The sequence below is a fragment of the Homo sapiens genome, chromosome 6 (assembly GCF_000001405.40).
Source record: "Homo sapiens chromosome 6, GRCh38.p14 Primary Assembly".
NCBI classification, from domain to species: Eukaryota; Metazoa; Chordata; class Mammalia; order Primates; family Hominidae; genus Homo; species Homo sapiens.
In genome coordinates, this window is record NC_000006.12 from 126,924,395 (window position 1) to 126,948,359 (window position 23,965).

The window sequence follows — 23,965 nt, forward strand, 5'->3', positions numbered from 1 at the left end:
GGTAAGTCTACTACCTGCATGGATTGCTAATGATAAGGGCTGGAGTGTAGTGGGATGATGCTATAATGAACAAACATAGAAAGAAAGGGGCAAGGTCATGAATATGTCCTGATAATACACTATGTTGGTTCAGTCATTAAAGTTATTTCTTAATGGGGTGAAACATTTCAAATACCTTATTTTCTTCTTTTGATAGTGCAAAGTATGAAACTAATCAGGAAAAAAAAAACCCAACCTTGTAACTAGATAATAGACGAGTATATCTCGTGGTCACTCTTTGCAATTAAGCTTAATGATACAGAGGAGCATGGCAGAACAATAAAGAGAGTAAATCTACAGTTAGTTTTGCATCTTGGCTCTACTAGTTTTCAATCTTAGGCAATCTATTTATTTACTTTCATTATTTCTTTCACTCCTATTTCTCTTTATCAGTGTTTCTGTCAAGGTACATTTTTTTTAACAATATTTAAATATTTTTATGTCTCCTACGTTACCAAGTACAGAGTATTGCACATAGTAGGTGTTCAATGTTTCTGTGGAAAGCAACCAAGTCTGTATTTCAGTTTAAAATGTCATGGCTTAACTGTAAATGGCCATGCTAATAACACAGATCTTTAATTGGCAATAGAAATTTCAGGTTCTAGAAACTAAAATGCTTCCTTTAGAGAGGTTTCTCAACAAAATTTGTTGGTGGATATAAAATAGTATTTTTGAAATTTAGCTTTTTTTCTTATTGTTTGATTAAAACCAATAATAATGTTATTTAATGTTGAGAAATCATTAGAAAAATATTAAGCCCTTGATAACATTGTCACTTATTAGTCCACCATTGCTATAATTATATATTTCAACTTTAATATAGTACTTATGGAAGCCCAATTAAGTTTGTATTAATTTGGCTTAGGATTTTGAACTCCGTTCTTGCATTGCCAAGAGTGATAACAGAGGCAGGAGAGAAGTGCATCAGTGAAAGTCAGAGAATACAAAGCCCCATTGCAAGAGGCTTAATTTCATTACATACGTTGCTTTGCAGAATTGCAGGGAAGGAAAAAAAAAATATGTGTGTATGTGTGTGTACATATTTTTAAAATAATGCTTTATATACAAATATCTTCCTTAATTTGCCAGGACTTCTATTACTTTTATTTACCTTCCCAATAAATACTCAAGATAGAATTATTAATACCTCCATTTTACAAAAGACTGGGACACGGAAAGATTAATTTATTTACTTATCGTCAAGGTAATGCCAGCCTTGGTATTAGAAGCTATTATCACCTGATTCACATAGTCTTTGAATCTTTCTACTATTCTATTTTGACATAAGAGAAAACGTACCATGTTCCAATGCACGTTTCTACATTTTAGTAGCAAAAATACACCCCCCGCCCCTTGAGACCAGCAGCCTCCGCCACAGCAGCAGCACCAGTAGTGGCTGTAATAAATTGAGCCATCTTAAAATGTTTTAAATCCCTCATTAGATTTCGTAAGAGTGAATTGACTTTTTTAAGAGCGCTGGTGTTTTTTTTGGGTCAAATCGTAAGGAATGTTTTTTTCCTTTTCAAACCTACTAAATATGTTCTATTGCTTTAGAAGAGTTGAAGAATGCTGAGGACTTAAATTCTGATCAGAATAGATATGAGGCGGCCTTAAAAATGAACAAACAAAATATGTATTTCACATAGCATATGCTTAATGCATGCTGCTTTCATAAATGAAGTCTCCCAAAAATGTATTTCTAACATCAGCTGGGATTGTAAGCAAACCCCTGGTTCCCTCCTACTTAAAATTTGCTATTTCAAAAACAGCTTTTCTGAAAGTGAAGAAATTAAAGCATTGGGCATATTTCCATGACCACAGCTGCTAATAGTAACTACCCCTTTTATTAACTCATCAAGCATTTAAAGTCTATACGACTGTTTTGCATAGGTATCTTGGAATAGATTTTTCTCTATATGTATATCTCCCGATAAAATTTTACTTTTCGAGGGTAGGTTGACACAATCAAATATGAATAATCTATGAATTATACATTCCTTTGACAAATGTCGGCTGAGTGATAGCACATTTTGTTAATGATGCTTTTCTCATAGCGTAGTTTTTAGACCACCTGAATGAGGAGAACATCGGGTGTTTGTTAAAAATGTAGCCTCTAAGACCTTGCACCAAACTTCTGAATCAGACTGTCTATGGATAAGGTGCAGGAATGAGTCTCATGCACACCTGTGTTTGAACATCAGTGAACTAGAGGATAACGGTGGGGGCACAAGAAGTTACAAATGCAGACACAAAAGGTAGTGTAAGGTTGGGGTAGGCTAAGTAAAAGCAATACACCAAAACCAAACTGCTCATCTCTAAACTTTGCCCGACCGCTTCTCAATTTCCTGCTCTGTAGGTTCATAGCCCAAGTCATTTCTCACCAAAGATTATTAACTTTTCTTATGTGATGAGATTTTACTAGAAATGTGAATCGTTTTGCCAGAAACATCACCAGTGGATTCTAAAGAAGCTGGCTCCAGACAGCCTGTCGACTGAATGACCATGTGGACTGCTGTAACTTGGTTCCCCAACGGACTCAAGGAAGTTCTGTAGGTTGGATGGTCTCTGCAAACAGTAGTTTAAGGAGCAGGACAGAAAACATTAAACGTAACTTAATATAGCACACAATTTCAGCCCTGACAAGGACCAGGTCTGATCCTATGTGGAGATCAAATTACAGAGGGACACCCTGTCCCCCCACCACCATTGGCAGCCTCTATGGGAAAAGTTACCGAGCAGCTGCACTACCTTATCTAGTCAAAGGAAAGAAAGAGGTCATCAGATTCCAGGGCTGCCAGTTGTTAAACCTTTATAAAAACCACTAGGGGAAAAAAATGCCTACATGGTTTTAAGAAAAAAATACACAAAATAATTATAATTCCTTTGAGAACATAATCCAGGATTTATTTTCTGAAATAAAAACCTGGAAGAAAAAAATAAACACACATTAAACTATTAATGACCAAATATCACTTAGGGATTTGACTACATTTTCTTTCTTATGCTAACATTATGGAGCCAAAGGCAGAATACTCTGAAAGACTAATTGCAAATGAAATTGAGACTGCCAAGCATTTGATCAGCTCCTGTCAAATTTATTTAGTGTATTATACTGAGTTACATTAATAAAAATAAATTAATTAAATTAAATAAATATTTTAGTCTGACCAAAAAAAAATAAAAATAGAAATAAAACCATTAAATAGACCAATGGAAAAGTCTTGGCATCATACAAAAATCTACTCAGTAAAATATTTAAAACTAAATTGGTAGCAAACCTGGCCTAGATAGTGATAAATCTCATCTATATAATGTTAACTGAAGCTAAAACAACCACACTTTGAATTGAATATCTTATTTCCAACTTTCCCTATAAAAACCTACAACTGAAAACCTCAATTTCTAAACTATTCTTGGGTCTGAAAGTAACCAGTGTTTTCTAGAAGTCAGTTTATTTTGTGAGGTGCTAGAAGTGAATACCACTCTGTTTCTGCGCAGCCTCCAGGGCTGCTGGCTCTCCAGCCTTGAGATTGACTCTGTTTTACAGTTATCTTACATTTGTTTACCCCATCTTAAAGCTTAAGCCTCTTAGGTCAAGGACCCTGCTTTTGGTGGTTTATCCTTTCTGAAGCAATATACTCCTCTGTAAATAGTTGTGTTTGGCCATCCCAAGACACTTCAGTCGAATTTTCCCATAGAAGAGAAAGTTATTTAAAGGGTGCTTTATAGTTAAAGCACAACAGAACTCTTATTGAGTCTTTTCCTGTGAGTTCCGTCAATACATACACAGCTTGGGAAACTCGAGGCATAGCGAAGCCAAAGTCACAATCAAGGAAGGCTTAAGTGTTTCTTAGAGAAGCTGAATTATGGTCAAAGTACTACTGGCAGAACCCTCCAAATCAGGTAAAAAGTGATGAATCTATTAATTATAATTATTTTGTGAAGATTTGACACCAAAGAACTTACGTATTTCAGTGAATTGGCTATTATTTGAGGCATTAAAGATATAACTAGACCTTCGTTTGTTAGCAGAGTTACTATCATAGTATGTATTTGATGAATTTCCCTTTTCTCTGGCTGGTATGCATGCCGTGGTTTCAAACTTGGTGGGGCATCAGAATCACTGAGAAACATTTAAAAGCATTAAAACAGCAACATCCAGATTTCAGAGCCTTGCCTACCCACTGGTGGTGCCTGGGAATCTGTAGATGTACAAAGTTCCAGAGGCAAGTCTGATTTCTGATGCTTTGCTGGGTTGGCAACCACTACATATGCCCAAAGAGTAGAATGGATTCCCACAAGGTGCTGCCTGCCCTTCTCCTAAATACCTAATGTCTCTCTGGTGTACCATCCAAAAGGAGGACCTGGAGCCTCAAACTCAGAACTCAGGTGCACTTGCAATTCATCACCATGCAATCTCCTTATATGAGAAAATAGTCACCTGAGAAGCTTTAAAAAATACCCATTCCTGGTCTCCTTCCCAAGATAATCTGATTTGATTCATCTGAATGGAATCCTGGCATCCATGAGTATGTTTTAAAGTCTTCCCAGATGCTTTTAACATGTAGCCTAGTTTGAGACCCACTGGAAGGGACGAAAAGATGCTTCTACAATGAGCATCCACGAAGTACTTAAATAATAACCAGGTACATTGTCTAGATTCTTGATATTTAAGTTTCCCAACAATATTTTGAGATTAAGCAGAAAGTATGCTAGAGTATGCCTACTCAAAGTGTGGTCCGTGTACCAGCAGCATCACCTGAGAGCTTGTTAGAAATGCAGAATACCCAAGCCAGGGTTTCTGTATCAGAATAACAAGACCCTCCAGTAATTTGTATGCATCTTCAAGTTTGAAAGGCACTCTGCTAGAGGGAGGATACACACACATGAGACTTCTCTGAAGAGTGGATGAACCGTCCCTGCACGTGGCTTGCCTTGCATATGAAACTGTTCAGTCAGTTCCAACAGAAAGGCATTCTTCAAAGGAGCATAACTGAGTGAGATGGGGCTATCTCACCTGATCTCCCTACCTGGGCTTTTTCAGTCAAATAACTATGTATTACTTAGTATACAGGATGTAGGGAACTTAAAAACAATAATAAAATAATCTATAAAAGATCAACTTTTGTCAGATACTCTGAACTATGGTTTTTGCATTACTTACCTTGACCTTTGGTTTCATGTCTGATACTGCAACCTCTGTTTGACCTCTCAGCTCCTGGCCTTGACCCTGCCTCTCCTTAAATCCCAGCAGGGCAAAGGGTAAAGGAATTTTAAATCCTACATACAGATGAAGTACTTGTGCTAAGTAGTATTAATTCTTTCATTGTTCACTATCTCAGCTCTGGTGTTAGGATTCAATGATGAATAAGGCAGCATTCCTTATCGTAAGTAGTTTATAAATTAATGAGAGAGACAGACAACAACAAATCACTATGATATGTGTGACATATGAGAATACTGTATGTTGGTAATGGCATAAGATCCATATCTTGTACACGGCTTGTTGGAGAATGAATTGCTGCAACTTTCCTGCAAGCAATTCAGTAATATATATTAGAAGTCTTAACATGTTCTTGAATTTGGATAGTTCACTAGTTCACATGTGACACATTGAGGAGCTATTGTATGAGGTTTAGTAGGGAGGACGTGATAAGATTTATATTTTAGAAAGTTTACTTTGGCTTAATACAGGGAGTGGATTGGAGGGGTGCAAGACTGGATGCTGGGAGATTAATTAATAGTCTGTAGTTGCAATCCCACATTTTTCTAACTAAAGAAAAATGAGAACCTGGAATAGGGCCACGATTATGTCTGGCTTCTTTGATTCTAATATGTTTCTAGTTTTACCTTAAGAGTGCTTCTTCTAGGAAAAATTCAGAGATGGACAAGAAGAAACAAAGATTTACAAAGATGTTTACCATTGTGATGTTTATAATAGTGAAAAAAAATTTTTAAAAATACCAAAGTACCCAACACCCAAGTTATCCTTAAACAAATAATATAATAACATATCAATTGGATAGAAAGTCATTCAAACAATATTTATGAAGAATTTTAATTAAGTTGACCTAGGCATATGATATGATATATTAGGCAGAATCCTGCAATCAAAATTATTCAAAGGTTTTAATATGATCTACAAATTCACTTAAGCTTTAATCTCTGCCTAACTCTTCTTCCTGTATTCATGACACTGCAGCTATATGGAAATACTGGTTCTTCTCTAAACCTACAAGTTCTCTCACAATTCCACCCTATTGAAAATGCTAGGTTTGGGTTTCTTTTTTACAAAAGTACTTTTAGTTTTTTTACAATGAAGAGAAAAGCTACGAGGTTGTCACCCCCATGCCCCCATCTCCCCTCCTATGTAAGAACAGCTCAGGTTTCTAGAGTCATTTGTTAAATTAATTAGGTAATTATCTATGTTATTATCCCTTATCATTTTATGAACATTAAATGTTTTTACTTTCTTTCAGCCTGATTCTGGTGGGTAGATTCACAACAGAACTTGGAACCATATTCTCCCCCATGCTATTATTCAGAGTCTCTTCCTCGTGGTGATCGTTACCTTACTGTCATAAAATAATTCTCAGAGAAGCTAGACTCTTCCTTCTGAATATTTGAAAGCCACCAAACAGCGTAGAATATATCTTCAATATGCTTTTCTGATTCTTCAGAAATTGAGCAAAAATGCTTATAAATAAGTTGATAATTTTTTTTAATGTGCAAATAGCTGCATGGTAAATTATCAATTTTAAAGACAGTATAGAGGAAAATTTCTTGGGCTTTTTTTGTGGTTGGAAAAGAAGTTTTTTTTAAGTTAAATTAAACATCAAAGTAATAATTGATTTTAATAGTAATAAAAAGACTCATACAAAGGAGGGGTTAAAACAATGTTTAATTTATGTTTGAGATTAGTGTCAGAAACATTATTTGAGTAAGGACTATTTGCTAAATTTAAGAGTGTAAGGACTATGGGGCTTCTGCCCTCTGGAGGTCCATAGTCTGGGTGCAGAGATGGACGTGAGCCTAAATAACACTAACCAACGTTACACCAGTAGATACAAACGCTGTACTAAGGGAGAAATTCACCTGGGAAAATGTAGAAAATCTTTTTTGGAGTAACCAAGATTTTTAAAGAGCCTTTATAAATAAATTGGATTTCAGAAGATGGATATTTATGGGAAAATGCAATCTAGACTGAGAAAATGCCCTGAGCAAAAATCCAAAGGATTTTGCCAAACATGTTTGCAGTCAAATGAGTACATGGGCTGATGCCATGGCTCTGTGGAAAGCCGGGGTGTGGAAATTGGATGGAAAAGTTTAGAAAGGGCCAAACTTTGGTATTTGAATGCTTATGTTGAAGTATTTAAACTTTATTTTTCATATCTTTCATTGAAGATTTTTGTATATAGGCAATGGCATGATTATATCCATGTTTTGGAAAGATTACTGAAAACATGTAAGAAGGATGCCAGAGGGGAGCACCTGGAGGTTGGTCACTCCTAAATTGATCTCTTAAGCCCAGACTGCTGTCACATCTCTCTGCTGTGTTTCAATGTAAACATTTGGGAAATCATATGATGTCCTTTATTTTATGAGACAACTTCCTAGAATATTCCTGTACTTTCAGTGCTGAAATGTTCTAATTCCATATTGACATTTATCCTCCTCCTGTGTTTGCTTGCACTGTTTTATTTGAATCAGTTTCTTCCTTAACATGTTGTCTAATTCTTCTATACTCACTTTTTTCCTGCTTCATTCCATTGAATTTCATGCTTTGATTTCTTTCCCTGTCTTATTAGTGGCATCATAGTATGTAAGCCTTTAAGTCTAAAATTTCCTTTCACTGATATTGGTTTCTGATTTGTGGTCCACGTAACCAAGAATTTTCTAGATGAGAAACCAATATTGATATGAGGTAGTGCTCCAGCCATGTGCAGAGTTTAGTCATGTCCTGAACCTTTGTCTTCCTGCCTGGAGCCAGGCATTTGCTGAGTACCAAGCCTTTCTCAGATTGTGTCCCAAGCAAGTCTCCTTCTTCATCGAGAGCTGCCTGGGTTGCACTACAAATCATGGACCACTCAGGCTTTCAACATTGAATCAGGAAATGATTCCAGCTGCAATACCCCACCATCAATGTGCCAAGTATTCCCTTAACAATAGGGACACATCGTAAGACTTTCAGACTCTCACAGTATAAAAGAAGGAGGAGGTTAGACAGCTACAAATATAATTGTAACATAGTGTAATGGATACAAAATATAAACATACTGCATTAATTTTTCTAAAAAGTTGCATCATGAATTGAGTTCTCACTCTTGCAGACCAGCAGTCACTTCCTTCTAGGGTAGCCACACTTGGTTTCCATGGGGGACAAGGCAGTGCATTAACGCATACTTTTGTACACGTTTACACATCACTGGGTGACATAATTCAAATTTGACTTGAACATTTTCACTTGGTGAGTAAATTAGAGCTCTGTTACACTGGCAGTGAATTCACCAGCTGGTTGTAAATAATGCATCAATTTCCACTTCTTAGTGAACTTACACAACCATAAAGATGGAAGAAAAAAATGATTTACTTTCCTAGAAGAGAAAAAAATGCTGAAATCAAGACTATTTCAGGACATCTGCATAAAATGGCTGCTTGTAAGAACTTTGTGATTCTGATGTTCCCACTCGCAATTCTTCACTCCACACCAGAGATTACATGAGAGAGCTACTGTGTATCCGTTGGCACTTGGGCAGGAAAAAGTTTGTTCTTTCCTCCCTTGTGACCTGAGAATGTTTAAGGCCTCAGTACACATTTAGGGCAACTATGGGTCTTCCAAAATCAGTTCATCATATTCAATGAAAAGAAGCTTATGTCATAATATTATTACTACAGACTAATTCCTCTTTACATAGTGCTTGAGAAGTAACAAACTGCTTCTCTACTACTATGTACAACAGCCCTATAAAGTGAGTAGAACTGATGTTGTTGTTGTTGTTGTTGCTGTTGTTGTTGTGACAGTCTCACTCTGTCACCCAGGCTGGGTTACAGTGGTATGATCATAGCTCACTGCAGCCTCAATCTCCTAGGCTCAAGCGATCCTCCCACCTCAGCCTCCTGAGTAGCGGGGACCACAGGCATGCTTCAACCCACCTGGTTAATTTATTTATTTTATTTTTTGTAGAGACATGGCCTTCACTATGTTACCGGGGCTAGTCTTGAACTCCTAGGCTAAACTGATCCTGCTGCCTTGGCCTCCCAAAGTGCTGGGATTACAGGTGTAAGCTACCGCACCTGGCCATGGAGCTGATTTTTAGTATTCATTTTGCCTATGAGAAAGTCTGTCTTTCTCAAGGCCACACAACTGGTAAAATCCTGATCCAGGAATTTAAATAAAGATACTTTAATATCTATATTTTAAAATCTGAGAATTCTTGTATTGCCCAAGATCGTTCTACCCAATTAAGGTGCATGAGTCCTTCCCAAGCTCCCACGTGTCTTTTATTTCCCAGGTTTGTAAGAGGGACAATAATCTACATGCTGAGGTGTTCTTAGAGAAGAAATATTATTTCAGGCATTGTTCTAAAGAGGCTGGTTCTGCTTCTTAGAGAAGTAAAACATGCCAATTTTTACTTTCTTAATAAAGTACTTGCAGGAAAAGAGAAAACAGCTGTAACAAAAACACATCCAAAGTAAAGAAAACTGGTAAATAACATTATTTCATTTTTTTTCTGAAATATTATATCCTGACAGCATAGGTTTCTGGATGAAGCCTGGTTTTAGAAGTCAGTTATACTGGCAATCCTAAGTTCTTTTACCTTGTTTCAATTTTCCTTTTATCAGTAACTTACCAGCCTCTCACAGACCACATAATTTACACTTTAATTATTTTGGTTTATTGTCTCTCTCCTTCAACTTGAATTTAAGCTACACATGGCCAGGGATCTTTCTTTGGTTCTCTGATCTATCCCAGCACTAGCATGGTACCTGGCATATCGTAGGAACTTAATAAATTTGCTGATTGAATGAATGAACATGTACCTGGGTTGAAATTCTCACTTTCCTACTTATCAATGAAAGAACTTAAGAACATTATTTAACCCTCCTGGTCCTTGTTTTTAATTGTGGCAAAATATACATTACACAGAACTTACCATTTTAACAATTTTTAAGTGTATAGATCTGTGACACTCAATACATACCTTGTTCTGTAACCATCACAGATTAAAGTCATGTCCTGAACCTTTGTGGCAAAATATACATTACATAGAATTTACCATATCAACATTTTTAAGCATACAGATCTGTGGCATTCAATACATAACTTGTTCTGCAACCATCACCACTATCAATATCCAGAACTTTTTCATCTTCTCCAACTGAAATTCCACATCTTTTGAGCAACAACTTCCCATTCCCTCATCTCCTCAGCTTCTATCAATTACACTTCTACTTTTTGTCTATGAATTTGGCTTCTTACTGCAGCCACGACCTCCTAGGCCCAAGCAATTCTCCCACTTCAATCTCCTTAGTAGCTGGGACCACAGGTGTGCTTCACCACACCTGGCTATTTTATTTATTTTATTTTTTATAGAGACAGGCTTTTCACCATGCCTCCCTGGCTGGCCTTGAACTCCTGGGCTCAAGCAATCCTTGAGTGGAATTACATGGTATTTGTCTTTTTGTGACAGGCTTATTTCACTTAGCCAAATATTCTCAATGTTCACGTATGTTGTAGCATGTGTCACAATATTCTTACTTTTTAAAGCTGAGTAACATTCCATTCTATGTGTATACCACATTTTGTTTATCCATGAACACTTATTGGCTATTGTAAATAATGCTGTGATGAACATGGGTGTATAAATATCAGTTTGAGTCCCTGTTTTTAATTATTTGGGGCATTTACACAGAAGTGGAATTGTTGGATTGTGTTAGTAACTTTATTTTCAGTTTCTGAGGAATCGCTGTACTATTTTCCACAATGGCTGCACCATTCTACATTCCCACCAGCAACACATGTACACAAAGGCTCCAACTTCTTCACTTCTTTGCAAACACTTACTATTTTCTTCTCTTTATTTTGATACTAGTCATCCTTATGTTTGTTAGGTAAACTTTTCTGAGTTTAAATAACTTTACTATATAGGAGGGACATCCCAGAGTAGGTATTAATTAAAAGGAGACTTTCTTTTTATTTATCATTATATTTCAGAAGAAATTTTCCATGTAAATGTTGAGTCACTCCCATTGTTCCTGTAATTATCTAAAATTCATTCAGATTGGTATAGCAATAAATCAAACTAGAAGATTTAAAGAGAAGAGAACAGAGGTTTTGTTTTGATTTTTTTCTTCTTTCACCCATGGAGGAAATTATTCATGATTGGATCTAGTGGAAAGAGTTCAAATGATTATAAACTGAGACATAATTTTAGTGACTTACATTTTCTTTTAGTGAGAAGGACCTGTGAGGAAAATTAAAGATATTAAGATAATCTGATTCAAGTATGAAAAATTCTACCCTTGAATTAAAATACGTGATTACTTCAGTTGATCAAGTTGCCTATTTACACATTTTAAAAATCACAGAAAATGATTGATTCAAGTGAGTATTTGATTGATTTCACCATTGTACTATTTATTAAATGTTAACACTTCATAATTCTTCTTTCTGACCCTTTGGTGATTCATGCCTAGCCTGGAGTTAATAAACAAAGTTTCTGGTGCTTAGGAAACTTTTTTCTTTAACATTCTGTTTACCTCCCTTCAGTTCAGCAAAAGCTTACCAAACAGACATCATGGGCAAGACATGTACAAAATGCACAGAAGAATAAGATGTCATCTACACTTTTAAGAGCTTGTAATCCAGACAAGAAGGAACATGATAATCATTATTTTAACCATTTAAAAATATAAGAGAAGATTGGATCGATATGGCAGAAAGAAACATACATTTCCACCTATTCTTATGCCTAAAATACCATGAAATCAAAGAAAAATTGTATCTGTCTCTCTAACAATTTCTATATTGATATCTATCTATGAATACAGTAAGAGAAGGAATAAAATAAACTTTATTGTAACAATTTCCAATTATGAAAAGAGGATTGGAGCAATATGGAAGAAGGAACATGTATGTCCAACTGCTCTTCTGTCTAAAATGCCATGAAATAAAAAATATATTTATATTTAGATAACGAATCTGCAGTAGCTCATGAAAAACAGGAAAGAGGTCTGAAAGCTGTCTACAAAATCTGAAATATTTTTATCTTTCACCCAAAATCACAAAAGCAGTTTATGATTAAATATAACTAGAACCCATACTGAGGTGGGCAGAGTACTCAAAAAATATTAATAAAACAACAAAATTACTAATAATTTGATGAAAACCAAAACAAAGAGACTTCACACAAATAACAAAAAAAAGAAAACAATAATGAAAAAGAGATACAATAAAGAAAATAAACTTTTAGTATAGAATTCTGTATCGATAAGATATCAAATAAAGATTGTGGAAATACAAACTAAGGTAGTTGAAATGGAAAAACAAAAACAAAACCCTCTATAAATTGATTAAATAGAGAATGGGTGCAGCCAGATGCTAAATCTGTGAGCTGGAGAATGGAACCACGGACATCTCCCAGAACATAACACTAAAGAGCAAAGAAGTGGAGAGGATAAGAGAAAGGTCAATAGACAAAGAAAAGAAATTCCAACATCAATTTAATAGGAGTTCTAAAAAGAGCAAAGAGAATGGAATGGGAGAAATGACAAAGAAATCATGAAAACTAAAGAAGAAAATTTTGGATCTAATTGCACAGCTGAAAGGTCTTAGAGTGCCAAGAAAGACGAATAAAAATAAACACCTAGGCCACCATACTGAAGTTTTAGAAATTCAAAGATGAAAAGAAAATCCTACAAGATTTAGGAGGGAAAAGAATTAGTTAACTACAAGAAGCAACCCACAAATCAGATGAACAAGAAATTATCTCCTTTGCAATACTGAGAGGTAGAAGATAATGGTGCTATATCTTTAATGTTATCATTAAGAAAAAAACAACTGTTTTTGAACCTAAAATACTTAACTACATTGAAATTCAAAATAGCAACATTTAGAAATGTGTAATGAGTCAGAAAGTTTGCCAACCATAGTTCTCTGAGAAAATTACTCAAGTATAACACAGGAGAAAAAGAGCCCAAGGAGTAGGAAGAAGCAGGCTAGCAGAAAAAGTGGTGAGTCAAGAAACCAAGAAAGCCATTTTAAATACTTGCTGAACTGTAGCTTAAAGAAATCAATTAGGAATCAAATTCTGGAATAAAAATTCCAATGATTTTAACATAGGGAGATGATAAAGGTGATATTTAATCACCAAAAAAGCATGTTAAAGTGTTAAAGTGATACATTAAAATACAGAGCTGATCTAGTTTTTAAAATTAAGCTATATGCTATTTACAATGAGATAGTATATAGCAGACAAACAAATTAACTTTTATGCCTATGACAGCATAGCTATATGTTGACAAACTCATAGAAATATATGAAAAAATATAGTATTATAATTTGAGAATAATATGCCCATAATAAATCAACAGTATACAAAAAATAAAAATGCAGAGGCTTTAAATGACACAATTAACAACTCTTATTTAATAGGTAATAAAGAAATTTACATACTAAAATCAGAGAATTCGTATTTTAAAAAATAAAATGAATTCAATAATTCACAATTTATAAGGCCCCAGAGAACAGAAAAGATAGCAATTAATTCTGACTGAAAGGGGAGAAGATATAGAATATTCCAGATACACTAAAGTATTCCAGGAAGAGTGAACAGTACGTGCAACGCTTATCCTTCAGTTTCTGCCCAACCCCATTTCTCTAAGTACACTGTATCCCTTGTGGCTCTTTAATTACTCCCTTGTGGCTCTTTAATTGCTCTCAGGAAATGTGTTAGATGTTGGACAAACTAAGTTCACAGCATTAATATTGTACCAGTGGAAGAAGAACAGAGAAAAGATAAGCATTCATATTTAACTTTTCCATCTTAACTGTCACTAGTGCCCTGAAATATGCAATAAACAATGTTATTTTTAGTTTTAAAACACTAGAGATAGGTGACAATAGTTTGGATTTGTGTCCTTGCCCAAATCTCATGTCGAATTGGAGAAAGGGCCTGGTGGGAGGTGACTGGATCGTGGGGGCAGATTTCCCCTATGCTGTTATTGTGATAGTGAATGAGTTCTCACGAGATCTGATGGTTTAAAAATGTGTGGCACTTCCCCGCTCAGCTTCTCTATCCTGCCAACCTGTGAAGAAGGTCCTTGCTTCCCCTTCACCTGCCACCATGACTGAAAGTTTCCTGAGGCCTCCCAGCCATACTTTCTGTTAAGCCTGCATAACTGCAAGTCAATTAAACCTCTTTTCTTCATTAACAACTTAGTCTCAAGTAGTTCTTTATAGCAGTGTGAAAATGGACTAATACAATAGGTACAGGTATGTGTGTATTTATGCATATATGTATATATGTTCATGTATATATACACACATACATTTACACATATGTGCATATATGTAGATACATATATGTGGGTGTTTTGTATATATATGTATAAACATGCACACATATATTCATATATATGCATATATGTATTATGTATCTGCATGTAAGTATATATATCATTTTCAATATATATAGAGAAAAATATTAACAGATATTCAACCAGGATTGTAAAGTAAAGCCAAGTGAATAATGAGCAACTATTGAATTTAATTGATAGGTCTCAATTACCTATAAGATATGTAGCATTATTCTTTAAACTATAGAATGGTATGTTATCACATGTAAGTGTTGTGTTTGCCATCCATGCCTATAATATGGTAAAAAGTTTCAAAAAGCAGTTTAGTGAATAAGACTGCTCTAGTGTACAATAGCAAAATTAGAACTATTAATTGCAGTAATAGTATTGAGGAAAATATTATTCATACTTCATAATACCAAGCTCATTATAACAGATATTCTATTAATTTTTTTTTTTTTTTGAGATGGAGTCTTGCTCTGTCACCAAGCTGAAGTGCAGTAGTGCAATCTTGGCTCACTGCAACCTCCGCCTCCCGAGTTCAAGCGATTCTCCTACCTCAGCCTCCTCCTGAGCAGCTGGGACTACAGGCGTGTGCCACCGTGCCCAGCTAATTTTTTTGTATTTTTAGTAGAGACGGGGTTTCACCATTTTGGCCAGGATGGTCTCAATCTCCCGACCTTGTGATCTTGCCGCCTTAGCCTCCCAAAGTGCTAGGATTACAAGCGTGAGCCACCATGCCTGGCCTGGTATTCTATTAATTTATTGACTCATAGAATATGCCCATCAATGACCTCAAAGGTCAACTATCCTCAGAGATTTATCAATGATGTTGCATTGTAATGCTCCAAATAAAATGCGACAAAATACAAAGTTCTGTGTAAACCATTGTTGCTAGCACAGAATAAAAAGAAAAAAAATGTTTTGAGATACATTGGAAGGCATATACTGCTTGGACTCTTGCTGACATGGCAGAACTCACTCTTCAAGGGAAGAGCTTACACTTTTTGACTCTATAAATATTTCTTGGTTTAAAGAAAACATTGTTCTCGAGTCTGTCTGTAGTCCTACCATTCCAAATAATATAATAGTGAATAACTACCGCACCTTCATTCAGTAAGTTTTATGGACATGATAGGGCAGGGAGGGAGATGACACTCCTAAGAGTAGAGCTATGGACTGAAATTGTGTTCCTCCAAATTCACATGGTGAAGCCCTAACTGCCACTATGATGGCTTTTGGAGATGGAGCCTTTGGGAAGTAATTAGGTTTAGCTGCGGTCATAAGGGGGCCCTCATGATGGAATTAATGCTTTTAAAAGAAGAGACACCAGAGAGAGATGGCAGTCATCCATAAGCCAGGAAGAGAGTCCTTACCAGCCCTTGACCATGCTGGCACCCTGATCTCAGACTTCCAGCCATCACAACTATTAAGAAATTCATTTCTGTTGTTTAACCCACCCAGTCTATAGTTAGAATGAGATAACTAACACAAATAGTATCATAAACTAGCCAAGGACAAGAAAAATGTTCTGGGTTAGCTGGCTTTGCTTATATAAGGATGAACTTACCTAGATGAAAATTCATATATGAAATACATACTTTATACCTCATCACAGATAAAAACACTCAAATAAGAACCCCAATAAAATAGTGTCAAATGACACCAACAGAGATCTATAAATGCAAACTTTCTTGGTAACCTCCCTGATTGCACTAATCAAGTAGAATAGCATAGATCCCATGTCCTACACTGGAACCTTATAAACCTTGCTCTTGGCCAAATTCCCAGTAGCTGCTTTCATCCAGGTTTCTGTGCGAGACCCCAGAGACAGCCTTCTTAACCTGCACAAACCCACAGTAAGCACGAAGCTCTAAGAAGTCCTTGCCAATATATTTTTTCTAGCTTTTGTGCAAATATGAATGAGACAAAAGGTGTCTCAGAGGTGCAGCAAGCCCATTAATTCTGTTTCTGTGGCCAACTTAAGAGGATGAGAATCTTTCTAACAGAGGGTGTCTTACATACCGTACAGTCCTCAGTCATCTAGCTCTCCTGCACATGCAGAAATCAACTTTGAAACACTAGATGCCTATGACTGAAAATCTTTCCTCTTTTGAATCTTTTGTGTTGTACTTTAATCCTCTTCTCTCATTTTTCCATAGTTTTTATATTTAATCGTCCTCCTGCAATATTTCTCCTCTTTTTTTCTCATGATCGTTCTGTTCATTTTTTCTTTTTACATCCATTTTTAACTAATCTGCTTTTTTAGCTTAAAAAAATTTTTGTCTCCTCATCCACTAACTTGAAACCATGTAAATGGTTGCATCTTATTCATCCTAAAAACGTCCTATTTTTTCCCCATCTTTCCAAGAATTCCCAGTTCCTCACATTGTCCACAGAACTCCTGTTGTTGTGGGGTTTTGGGACTTTCTACTAACAAAGATTACTTTTTCCACCCCCATGCTAGAACAAGATTAAAGACCAGGAGTAGGGTGAGATTAACAGCCAGATGAAGTTGAGAGGGAGAATAAAGTAAGAAGTTAGGGGGAGTTGCTTCTCCTCACTGAAAGGATGGCTACTTTTAGGGTATCAAGCATGGAGTCTTTATGGATTACCCTGGTTCATTCCCACTGCACCCCACTGAAGCCTACATCTTTTTTATCAAAATTAAAGATGTGTGCCTACGAATATTTCCCATACGAATGATATTTGATTTAAAGATATTTTCTGAATCTGAACACTTTACCATGGACTCCTTAATTGCAATAAAATTGATGAAAAAGTACCTCGGAATATCAGTAGTCTATCAACCTGTGATTCACTCCAAGAGAGGAAGAAATTAGACATTTAAAATTTTACCAAATGCAAAGCTTCATGTTTTAATATTCAGAGTCTCCTGGAAGATTGTGTAAAATGCTGGTTGCTTGCCAATAGATGATACTGGGATGCTGAAAGTTACTCCAGAGAATAAAGACTCCCAGATTCTGAGATCTAACTTTGGCCATTTGTTTAACTAATGAAATGTCTTGGGGTAAAAAGTTTTTCTGACTACAAAAAGTTTGTCATGCAGCATAGTGAAGCAGCACACACAGTGGTTGGAGCAAAGACTGTGTTCCAATACTTTTCCTGACTTTGCCATTCTTATACGACACTGGGCAAATTACTTCTCCTTGCCTCAATTTCCCCATCTGTAAAATGGGGATAACACTGGTACCTATTTCTTAGAATTTTGAGAGAATTTAAAGATAATTTAGAACAGTCCCTGGTACATAAGAAACACTAAATATAATTTAGCTATTATTTTTAAGGCTACCTCAGTAGTCTTCCTTAAAACTATATGGAATCCCTCAGGCATAATTCTGTACCCCTGCGCAGTCATTTAAAGTTACAAGTTTTTCAATACTTAGGGGAAAGATCTTCACCCCTGTCCAGAAGCTGAACAATATATTAAGCATGTCCTAGGGCATGGTTTTGTGACCATGAAGAAAGAAAAAATCTGGAATCAGAAATGCCAGAGTTTTAAGTTTTATTTTTAAGAAACCATTAACCAATGATTTTTATTCATTAATTTTAGTAATTATAAAATGTGAAACATGAAGGCTGGCTGAGCTAAGAAAGTGTGTAGCATCAACTTCGAATCATGAACACTGGTTATTGAAATATGGATTTTGTTATTCAATAAAATTACAAATGCAGTAGCTTATTTGGTACCTACATCATGATATGCTTCTAGGCAGTTATGCATAAATAAGAAATTAATTTGCTAGCATTGCATTTATACTACTATATCAAAATTTAGCTACTCAGGAGGCTGAGGCAGGCCATTCACTTGAACCCGGGGGGCGGAGGTTGTAGTGAACCGAGATCATGCCATTGCACCGCAGCCTGGGTGACAGAGCGAGACTCCATCTCAAAAAGAAATGCTTTTTATTAATTTTTGAAGAGGCTGCATGGATTTAAGACGGCAGACTCGGGAGCTAAACTGCTGATACTTGAAACCCACCTCCACTACCTACTCGCTCCATGAGCTCTGGCAACTTACTTGACTCCTCTCTCTACCTCAGTTCCCTTATTGTAAATGGAGAAATAACTATACCTCCCCACTGGATTGTGATAATAACACCTAGAATAGTGCTGGACACGTAGTAAACTCCCCTAAATTGTTAGCTTACATTATTATTTCTCACTTAGTATTTTTTTCTGGCCAACATTAGGTATAAATATTAATGATTTTATTTTAAAACTGCATGGCATTTTAATGGTCATTTAAATTTAATCTATTATAATGGATCATTTAATGGTTAAACTTCACATCATCAGCATTACGTGCACCCACAAGAAAATCAGGCTAAGACATAATGGCTTGGGAACTTACTTGAAAATAAAGTAAGCTTCTTTTGGTCATGTCCATGATCTATGGCTACCTCTTCTGGACACATCTTGTTCAGTTCTGCCTTCCGTCTCTTCTTCAGTGGGACTCACTGAGTGCATGCTCTGGGCTGTATTTCAGGGTGAAGTGTTTGGGGGCAGAAGGCTTGGGATAGCAGATTCGTAGGTTCCCTGGACGTTGAGTCTACCAATTTCCTTCCTGGAGTTGTCTGCAAATGTAAACATGCAGGAAGACAGAGGAAGAATCTAGAGATCTCACACAGAGAAAAAAGGGGAAAGAATACAGGGAAAATGGGCTTAGAAATAAGACAGCATTAAGGTTAAGAGTTAAGAGGAAGGCCAGGCTCGGTGGCTCATGCCTATAATCCTAACACTTTGGAAGGCCGAGGCGGGCAGATCACCTGAGGTCAGGAGTTCGAGACCAACCTGGCCAACAGGGCGAAACCTTGTCTCTACTAAAAATACAAAAATTAGCCAGGTGTGGTGGCAGGCGCCAGTAATCCCAGCTACTAGGGAGGCTGAGGCAGGAGAATCGTTTGAACCCGGGGGTAAAGATTGCAGTGAGCCGAGATAGCACCGCTTCACTCCAGCCTAGTCAAAAGAGCGAGACTCTGTCTCAAAAAAAAAAAAAAAAAAAAAAAAAGAGTTGAGTAAGAGGAGGAAAAAAAAAAAGCAGAAAGTGAAAGAGTGAAAGGGCTTTACTAGCCCCAGTATCTTTTAGCTACTTCTCATCAACCACCCTCCAGGCATTCTAAAGCTGCTCATCCGATTCAGATTTATGGCTGGGTGCTGGTGAGTAGGTGTAATCTTTCCCTAATCTTTCCCTTCCTTTAGTACTTCAGTCATTTTATCCTTCATGCATTAATTCAATATGCCACTATGTAGCACTTTCTCTGGGCAAAGCAATCATTCTATTAGACATTGGGCCTGGAGAAGGGAAAGGTGATTACCAGGATGGAAAAAAAAAAAAAAAAAAGACACAAGGGTTTGTGGTTTGGTGGAAGAAACTTTATAAGGATACAGAAACATTACAATCGAGTTAGTGATCATAAGTATTAGGGTTGCTGAAAGAGAAGAATGACTAGTTCTGCCTGGGTAATCGGGGACATTTTCCCAGAGGATTTGACACTCCAGTAAGTCTCTAAGGACAACGAGGTACTCCTCAGCCTAAAATAAACCATATTTCAGAGGGTCTGAGGCTTGCAGAAGCATGATGTGTTCTGGAAGCAATAGTTCCTTATGGCTGTAATAGAGGGAGTGTGGGTGAAGGCAGAAGACGTGGAGGAGGATGTGGGGCCGTTGAGAAATCATGTGCCCAAATAGGTTTAATATGTCTCTTTCATCTCTCTTCTCCTCCCACCATCCTCCCTAGTGTGACTAAATGAGAGATACTTGGAAGTTCCTGTTTCTGGTTCCGGGGAAGGCAGAGAATCCATGCAGCATGGAGAACGGCCTGGGGTGACCTGAGCATCTGGAAGGTCCATTTTCAGTCTCCAGGCTGGGACTGCTGAGTGGCTAGTGGTGTCACTAAGTTACTAAAGAGGATAGGGGTCTGTTATTGGATTTTCTCATGTCATAGCTAATAGTGTCAGTAAAACATAAAACATAACTTAGACACTACTGTTAGATGTACTTTTTTAAGTTGCTTTATTGAAAATTGCATGTATACTGCATTGGTATAGATGGCCAGACCTGTATGCATGTGTGTGTGTGTGTATGTTTGTCACCTTTTTTAGCCTGTAAAGGGTCACAAACCCTGAAGAACAAGCATGCTTTTCTAATATTCTTAGTTGTACCTATATCTGTGTATTCAGAACAAGAGTACGGTGTGGGCTTTTTGTGCCCATGGAAGTGTCAAACCAGGTATCAATGGCCCAGGAAATGCTGAGAATCTCACAAGACATGGCCAGTTATTTATTCTCTGGTGACAGAGTGTGGAAAGGGATCAGCTTTCCTCTAGCCAGTCTTAGTCTCTGCTCAGGCGGAGAGTTGCAGTATGGTTGAAACAAATACTCTTTTCTCATATATTCCACTCTAGCTTGTGCAAAATCCTTCTATCTGGCAGAAAGAGACAGAGAATTCTTTGCTCGTGTTTTCCTGGGACTCACCCCAGTAACACTCCCTGGAAACTTTATCTGCCAGGCCATATAAGAACACCGAATAGCTTAGCAGAAAAGGAAACTGATATGAAAAGTGGACAAGAAATTACCCAAAAAGGTCTTATTTGAATCCAAGCACCAAAAAATGCAGAAATGCACAATTAACTGATTTCCTAATATATTAGGAAGTAACTCAGTCTCTGGCTACCTAAAATTGAGTTATACTAGGAGAAAAATAATATCAACACTTAGTTTGCATAATGTGATGTGCTTATTAAGGAAGTCTACTGGATAGTGATGCTACACAAAATAAAATGTCCACATTTCAACATGATCTGCTTTTAAGTTACAGAAACTAAAACTCAATATACTTTCTGTTGGCATCTTATAAAAAAGTTCTTACAGAACCTTAGCCTAATAGGTCAGTACCAGCAGCACCAATTTTGTGCAGTTCTCCTGAAAGCTTTCAGCAGTAAATCTCTAAAAATGTCCACTTAAGCAGTAGAGGTCATAAATATTTCACGAGAGCAATAAAACAGAACAGAATTTTGGAAGTTATAATTTTAGTGGATATAACTGCACTTTATAAAAGGAAGACCTCTGGGACCCAGAATAAATGCAAAACTCTGTCTGACTGAACTGCAGTACTAACCCATCTGCAAGTGGTAAATTATCCCCAGTCCCAGGTGTGGTGCATTATACTCAGGGTGTCCAGTGATTAAAGGTGAGAACGTGGCCAAAATCCAAGGGAGCACTGAACATTAATGATGGCTGGAAATCATCAACAATTTCTCTGGAAGTTTGATTATTTTCTATTTGTTCACATTAGTCAGGCCCAAGATTCAACAGATTGTCTATGATCAGTTCCTGGTGTGTACAGATACACCAGTGAAAGAAGCCCAGAGGCTCTTTGTTTGACCCGGAAGGAGTTCACAGAGAAAAATAAAGTGATAATCCTGTTACCGATAATCCCTCAGGCTGCCAGAAAGACAGACATTTACTGAAGCCTTTATATTAAAATTCAACTGATGATTGCAAAGCAACATAAAAATGTCCTTACATTTGTGCTTTCCCTGATACATCACTTGTTCTGTTTAGTACGCATTTGCATAAAGGTTCTTTTACATTTAAATCTGTATCTGAGTGTTAGAAACTCCCCAAGTGCCAAGGTTAAGCTTAATTTGATTTCCTAAACTCTCCCACCATCCCACCTCCCCATACACTCATGTGTACATAAAGAGCTCTGTGGATTTTAAATGCGAGTGACTATTATTTCACAGTTACATCCATAGTTTTTGTTAACATCTTTTATACTTTCCACCAAGTTCTTCAATTGTCTGTCCACTTGGCCCCAAACTAATTTTAATTGGCGTAGTCTAGAAAACTCATAATTACAATATTGAATGAGGGTAGCAGGAATAGAAAAGTTACATCTGAAGAGCAGATGAAAAAAATGTTCATGCAAGGCGGCCCAAGCTTCTGATTTTTAATCAACATTTGATTGTAAACTATTAAAATGCCAAATCACTTGGCAATATTGTGCTATGTCTTCACAGCTTAAAATAGTCACTGTGAAATTGTCATTCCATCCCAGTTTTCTCATATGAAAATAATAACACATTGTACCTTTTGCTGTTGTTTCTAATTTTTTGGTTTTTATTATTGTGTAACTGAAATGTCAGCCTCTTGCATCTAAGGGTCACCTTCTAGTTTATTTGGAAAATAAAGGGTAAGAAAGTTTGTCTCGTGTCTCCTCCTGAGTCATTGACTTGGCAGTGCTGCCCATGTCATGTGTTCCACTCTGCCTTGCTTTCAGCATGGCCTTTGGTCACGACTCTGTTCACTGCTGTTTACGACCTGGGCTTGGGTCTTCCCTGGTGGTATAGCACTAGTACCGGAAGGGCCACACTTTCTATCACTGACCTGTCACTTTGCTCCCATTAATACTCAACCACAAAGTTTATGTGTTATGGATTCTGCTGCAGTTTTGGAGACTGTTCCAAGTAAAATGCTCTAGGAAAAAAAAAAACTTGCTGAATACTCTCATGGGTTGGTTTTACCCATGGCCTTTTTTCAATCTGGGCACTTCTGGGATACAGTGATCATTCCACAGGGCCTTTCCCAAAGACTGAGATAGAGAATCCAAGGCAAGTCTATAAGAGCAGGGAGTGGGAGTTGGATTTGGAAGGAGAGGGGCCTGCAGAAAATAGCCTATAATGGGTTCTGCAGCTTAAAGTCTGATTACCATCTAGGCCCCTCAGCCCGTGTGAAGAGAAGCCAGCCTAGGTTACTGGGTGGATGTGTGTTGTTTTTGCACACCCAGAATTATTCTCCTTATACTTGTGATAGTGACTTGAATTTCCTTGGATATCAGCCCTATATATTTCCATTCCTTGTGGTTTAGGTGGGGCTGGCCCAACCCCTGGACTCAGAGGTGAGCTCATGACCCAGATCTGGACAATTGGTATTGTGTTCTGGCCATGATGATTGGTTAATCACTCTTTAATCTAAGTAATCCCAGGAATTTTTTTTTTGGAGCAACTAGAAAAGACAGGTTGGGGTGTGTGTGTGTGTGTGTGTGTGTGTGTGTGTGTCTGTGTGTCTGTGTGTGTCTGTCCTAAGACAGCTAGCAGAGAGGATGAAGTGAGTCTGAACTGCCATCAGGCACCATAAAAGCATAAAAATGAGGACAACCGAGAGGAAAGCAGGGCTGAAGTGTGAAGACAGACTGGCTCTAATGATGGAATTTGAGACCCTTGGATCCAGCCATGATCAAAGCTGGTACTGCTGAAATTTTCAGTGTGAGAGCAAAGTATTTTTTTTTCCACATTAGCCAATTTGAATTGATTTCCTGTCACTCA

At 37.0% G+C, this 23,965-nt stretch overlaps 1 long non-coding RNA gene across 7 annotated transcripts in view; it reads right to left on the minus strand.

Moving 5' to 3' along the window:
• Nucleotides 1-23,965, minus strand: part of LOC105377989 (uncharacterized) — a 347,578-nt gene that overhangs the window by 59,128 nt on the left and 264,485 nt on the right. For 2 of the 7 annotated variants that reach the window (XR_007059745.1, XR_007059746.1), the window contains exon 5: nucleotides 18,992-19,214. The exons of the other annotated variants lie outside the window; for them this stretch is intronic. This is a non-coding gene — a long non-coding RNA (uncharacterized LOC105377989). The remainder of the gene's footprint in view (nucleotides 1-18,991; nucleotides 19,215-23,965) is intronic. 7 annotated transcript variants of the gene reach the window in all.